This window comes from Homo sapiens, chromosome 5 (genome assembly GCF_000001405.40).
Source record: "Homo sapiens chromosome 5, GRCh38.p14 Primary Assembly".
NCBI classification, from domain to species: Eukaryota; Metazoa; Chordata; class Mammalia; order Primates; family Hominidae; genus Homo; species Homo sapiens.
In genome coordinates, this window is record NC_000005.10 from 86,861,908 (window position 1) to 86,868,426 (window position 6,519).

Here is a 6,519-nt window from a genome sequence, read left to right on the forward strand (position 1 = left end):
TTTTGGAGGAAGAAACCTCCACATATACACGAGGAAAGCCAATGCTTGGTCACAAAACTGATGTCTAAGAGAAAGGAAAAATGTTTTTCCAAGTAGAAAGGTACATAGTTTTGAATAAATGAATGGATAACCCATATCTTTATAGATCCTCCGATAAAAAATTCCATTTTTTATTTACCCGCCATTAATTCACTCATTTATTCTTTCATTCTCTCTGCTCCATAGAATTTACATTATAGTAGTGGGTTTTGACAAGTAATCAGGCATCAAGTAACCGGGAGACACAGAGAGATACGATTTACTTCCATAGTTCATTGTTCTCCTCTCCACTTACCCATTGGACTCCATTTACAGCTGGACTAAAATAGAAAGCAGTATGGTATTTTCCAGGTAATTGAGGGCAATTTCTGCCTCTGCACTTCCATAGGAGAAGAGTTGATTAGTAGGACACATAGCATCAAGGATACTTAGCCGTGTGAACTGAATCAAAGAGATGACCTAATCATTCTCAGTAAAGGTGGCCCAATGCCAGTATGGAAGCAAGGAAAAGTTATGAAGCCATAGAAAGGGTAGTGAGATTGGCCTTTAATGGCACTAAAAGTGGAGAGAGTTAAGAAACCTATCTGAGTAAGAGTGGGATACTTAATATTATTTTTGGTTACCTGATCCTTAAACTCCCGGGCAAGTTTTCATCCCCCTCCCCGGAGTCCTCCTTCTACCTTCATATTCCATTCTAACTTCTGCCAACTTTTCTTTTTGGGAGGCACAGTGTCACAATATGAAACACTGCTAAATTTACTGATTATTATTTCTTCTGCACATGTTCTCACAACCCGCCTTACGTTAGTCTACAATGAGGATTATCATTTCTAAAATAAAAAGGAGGAATCTGTTGAATTTAATGGTATCTTTGCCACTATTTTCGTAATTTATTGATTCTTCATGTTCATTGTAAAAATTTCTCTCTTATCTTCCCCTAACAGTAAAAACATATTGTCAATTGAGCAGAAGACCTGACAGATGCATTACAGTTTACAGGCAAAGACTAGATCTTCAGGAGATAAGCAGAGAAAGAGCAATAAGTTGTATGAAACAAAGCTTTTATAATACAAATCCTAGATATTTGAGTTATTTTTGCCAAATTAAAATCTATCTCACAGAAATTATGTTATGCATATAATACAACATGTATTATTTCATATAATACAACATGTATTATTTCATATAATACTGCAGAAAGTTGCTTACTTTAGGTGATGGAAATAAGGAGGAGGAAGTTATAAAAACAACACATTATTTGAAGTCAATAGTTATTCTGGTTCTACTAATTTTCTGTGTAGTCTTGAGATAATCACAACATCTTTGGTCTATAATGATCTCATTCATAAAATGAGGTTAATAATTTTGAGAAAAGCTGGAAAAATACATAATATATATGAAAGTACTTTGAATAAATTTTAAGTAAACATTATAAACAGAGGACTTAAGAAAGAAGGACTTCTTTGAACAGTTGGATAATTGAATTAGTGGTGCTAATCTCCATGTGGGTCTTGATTTATTTATGCACTTTTCAGGTAGTTTAGTCTTATTTGCCAAAATGAAAATCGCATATACTGGATTTGGAAAAAGAATCCCAGTGGTGTCACTTTAGCAATGCAAGTGTGGTGTTTAGGGGCTGATACCTAATCCTCTGGATAAACTTCCTCTAGTCCTCATAGATATATGTGGTATATACCTCATAGGTATATGGTAATGTTTGCCAGCCACATTAGCAGACAGGGCTGTGTGGAAGTATCCTGTGATTCTTTCCTTTAATACTGACCTCATGGCTCCCCCAAAGTGAGGTAACACTTCAGAACACTATACACTGCTCCACAAGCAAAAGAAAACATTTGGGGGAGTAGGATGCCACTTTTTAGTTCATTTTCTGAATGAAAGAAGAAAACCAGAAGCAGTGAATGTTATTTTCGTCTGACCTCAGTTTTTATTCACTCAGAGATGGTGAGACAGTCCATCCACATTTCCATGCCATACCCACATTTCCCTAGAAGTTAGTTTTGTCTGTCCATTTCATTTTGTTTGAAAGCTTTGAAGGCCAAAAACAGCACATTTCCATAGATTCCCGTCTTACTGGAGATGCATGGGCTGGTCTGAAAGAAAACTAGAGCTTTCAGATTCTGTTTGAATTGGTAAGGTACTGTAAGTTGAACCATTGCAGTAAGGTCCATGTTTTCAGCAGATTTTAGAGCAGAGTCCCCAAACTGTAAAGCAACATCTGCTGCTTCAGCGCCAGCCACACGCCAATTACTGTTAAAGAGATTTTTGCCTGGGCCAGATGCAGTTCTTATGATTAAATTCGTCTGTGCATTTCTTGTATGCAGCGCATTTTCTACAGAGGGCTCTCAGCCAGCTCTGAAGGGTGAATAGAGCTTAATACAACACTAGGCTGTAATGATGCCATTTGTCAGTTTTCTAAATCTTGTAAAAGAGTGCAATTAAGTCAGTTTTCTAAAAGTTTAAGGTTTCTTTCTTTCTTTCTTTCTTTCTTTTTACAACCAATCTTAAAAGTAGTCATCCTGCAAATTTTTATATACCTCAGCCAGTGTTTTTATATTCTCTGCAGTTTAGGACTAATAACAATTGTTCCTCAAAGGAGGGATCATCAAGGAGATACCAGAGTTTTAAACAAGGAGGACTCACAGGGTGCTGTGACATCAAGAGCTGCTGCTTGTGAGTGAGGAAAAAATCTTTTGGAAACAGGAGATGAAATTATAGTCATCATTTATAAAACAGGCTCTACAATAATGTTTGCACAATGAGGCACACAAGAATACTATGGATGATTTTTGTTTTGATTTTACAGAACTTGTAGTTTCATATCATTTGGATTTTATTTGGAGCATTATGCTGTTTTAGTTTTCATCCTTTTTTTAATAAAAATTCAATATGTACCTACTATGTGCCACATTCTTAAAAAAGAAAAAAATCACTATTTTCAAGGACTTCATAATTCATACCAAAAAAATTATGACAAGAAATTTTTAAAAACAATATGAGAGAAATGTGCAGGGTCCTGTGGTAACAGGAGAGAATGACATTGATAAAAGTCATTTGCTATATTGGTGTAGTTTAAAAAAGAAAAAAGCTAACAGCTTTCCAAAGCACCTCAATTGTGTACAAATCATCCCCCATGCTGTGAAAATCAGATCTAACCTACAAGCTATAAATGTGAAAAGGAATAAGACTAAGAATGTACCCCAGATTTGATCCATGATTTATGAGGAAATTGGATATCTCAAAATTGCTTTGGTTATAGAAGAGTCATTTAAAGCAGGCTCATAGAAAAGTCTATCTAAAGTATTTTCAGAATTGGTCAGATAACATTTTGTAAAGAAGTTAGAGTTATTTCATTAATGAATAGGTTCACACATACACACAACACAGCCTGCATCCCTCGGGGAAGAGAATTGTAGAGGAGTGGGAGAAGATAATTATAATAAGCACCAGGCCTGTCCCTTTGTGTAATTGGTTGGGGGCCAGGAGAACGCCTGGCAACATTGACACCCAGTTGTCTTCTAAGCATTGCTGATTTTAGAGAACTATGCTGTGCACTGTGTTCCTAGACTAGAGAGAAAATTGACAAAAGGAAGGGAATTAGGTGGATGCTGTGGAGATTACAGGTTCACTTTCTTTCTGAGTCACATTCCAAGAATGATGCCATGAGAAATTTGCCTCCTCTTTTCAATCCTAAAGTGTTTATATTTGGGCTTAAGCCAGCACTAGAGAATTAGGCATCTTGTGCTTTGTATAGAGGAGTTGCTGGTTTATTTTCCAAACAACTGGCTGAGATCCTGTGGAAAACAACATTAAAACAACATTTGCAAACCAGATTGCAAACAGGAAACTCCATGTACAAAAAGATATTTTTGCTATTTGATTTTAATCATCTCTGCCTAAATGTTTCAGGAAGTATCTCTAGCTAAAATTATATCTATTTTACATGTAACCAAATACCTCATTTCTTTTGGGGACATATATGAGAGTGTAACATAGGAAAGATCTAGAGTTGATCCTTCTGTGGCAGGTCAGAAATATTTCTGTTCTTTGTGCTTCTGTTCTGGAATAAACTTAGAAATTAACTAGTATACATCATGTCCTGGTGGTGGGATGGGGGGAAATGGAGAAAGTACACATTGTAACAAGCCCAGCTCCCCAACCCTAGGCCCAAAAGTTTGGAAGGGCTTCAAAGTACCCCCTGCAGCCTTTGACCAAAGCCTGGCAGCTCCAAAGAGGAGCTCAGTAATGGGAACAAAGACTGCCAAATACGTTGTGTGCCAATGCCAGTCAAAGTGAGCTGGCAGAAAGAGCAGCCAGCAAACCAACAGTGCCAAGGTAATAGAGGCCAGGATGGCAGGATGGTAGGAGGTGGGAGATGGTTTCCAAGGAGCAGGATTGTTTTTAATTACTTGCTGTAGTGTTACTACTCAGCTTTGTTCTCTCTGATTGTATATGGATTGTTTCAATCCTACATCCATCATTTCCTCTGACAGGGTTAGAAAGCCAGAGAATGTACAGGGACGTGCTACCAAATTGGGTAGGAATAGGCTTTGACATGAGTGAGACAACCATAGCAGGCTGGGCTGGAAAGCCCACTTCTCCAGATGATGTATCCCAATGGAGATAAGGCTTTTGCTACACTGAATTCTAGCAACTGGTAATGCAGTGTGTCTAAGAAGCAATTTAAGAAGCCCTAGCAGGGCTTTCGATTTATTTCAGTTAATTTATTCATTCTTATTCTCTACCTTCTGTTTCCAAATTGTTTTATAGTGTTTACTAGGACAGGGCAATCTCCATGTCCACGCTGAATGGAATAGCAAATCATAATAGTAGTGGTGGTAGTAGTAATAACTCATATGTTTTAAGCAGCTGCTATTTAATCATTATAACCACGATGCAAAGAAGATATTATCATTCCTGTTTTACAGGTGGCATCTACAAGAGATTAAAGTTAAAAGAGATACAGAAAAGCCTACAGCCAAGAATACTCCAGAGATGAGTGCTCTGATGGCAGAATACCGTGATGGGAGGTGGTGACTCAAAAAGGGTCACCTAACTTAGATTCGCCGGGACAGGAGAGAGGTAGATGAGAGAGGGTTGTTAGAGGAAGTGATATTTAAATTGAATAATGAGGAATAAATAAGAATTAGCCAGGCAATGGGCAAGGAAAGGGTATCTAGGCAAAGAAAACACTTGTACAGAAGTCTTAATAATGAGATCATATCAGCTCAAAGTGGCTGGAACATAGAGTGTGAAGGGAGCATAGGTGAGAGATGAGGCCAGAGAGTTCAACAGAGAGCAAGATGGAAGTCTTTCTAGTCCTTGTGGGGAAGTTTAATTTATTTTTAGACAAATGAAAATATTTGAATGGTTTAAAATAGGGGAGAGAGAAAATCAGATTTGCAATTCAGAGAACAAATCGCAGACAGGAGAAATGGAAGACAAAGTACCCAGAAAAAGGGTAATTCCAGCCATCTAGGTAAGTACTGGTGATGTTCTGAATAAGAAAACATCTTTAGAAAGAAGAATCCCTGGGCATGGTGATTTGAATGAGGGTAGGGGGTGGAGTGGGGGAAGAAGATAATCAAGAATGCTACCCACACTAAAATTGTGCAGACAAATGTGCTACTCACTAAAATAATAGGTACAGGAAGGAGGAAGAAGAGTGACAGAGAGGAGTGGGGGGTGATGAAGAACGGTTAGGCAATCCTGGATTTGGACACATTGAAAGGGAGAAGGCTGTAAGTGATCTAAGTAAGAATTTCTAGTAGGTAATGTGATACATGGCTCTGAAGCTAAGGTGAGAAGCATTAGCTAGAGATACAGATTCGCAGTTATTGGCATGGACTTAATTTTTCTGTAGAGTAGCAATATCTTTATAACAAACAGCATGAAAGAAGTGCCTTCTGCTTTCCCCATGAAAACTGTTGGTCACAGGGGTACTCCCAGGCAGCTAGACCATAATTTACATAAGCTCTGCACATGAAGCCCATCAAATCTGGAACTACAAATTCAAAGACCATTTCTTTTATATTTGCAAACTTTCAGACAAAAGAAAGGATGCTGGACCTGTTGGCTCCCTGCTGGAGAATGTATGTGTCCCATTGTTTGTCCATTTGTTCATCTCAGCCATTTACCAGACCTGTCTAGAAACCCATACTGTTCTGTTTGCTTGTTCTCTCTCCCTGCTAAAGGACACTAACCTTTCTTGCAACAAGTCCTGCTCCTAGCTAAGTAATCACCTGACAGGTACTTTTTGCCTGCTGCACAGATAAAACAAATTCACCAAGACAGTGATAATGTGATAGAGAAAGAATTTAATTAACCTGGGGCTAGACAAGCAGAATTTTATTACTCAAATCAGCCTCCCTCAGCACTTGAAGGCTAGGGCTTTTAAATGAATAATTTGCTGGGCGGGGACTAGGAAATGGGTGCTACTATTGGTTGGGAATGAAATCAAGG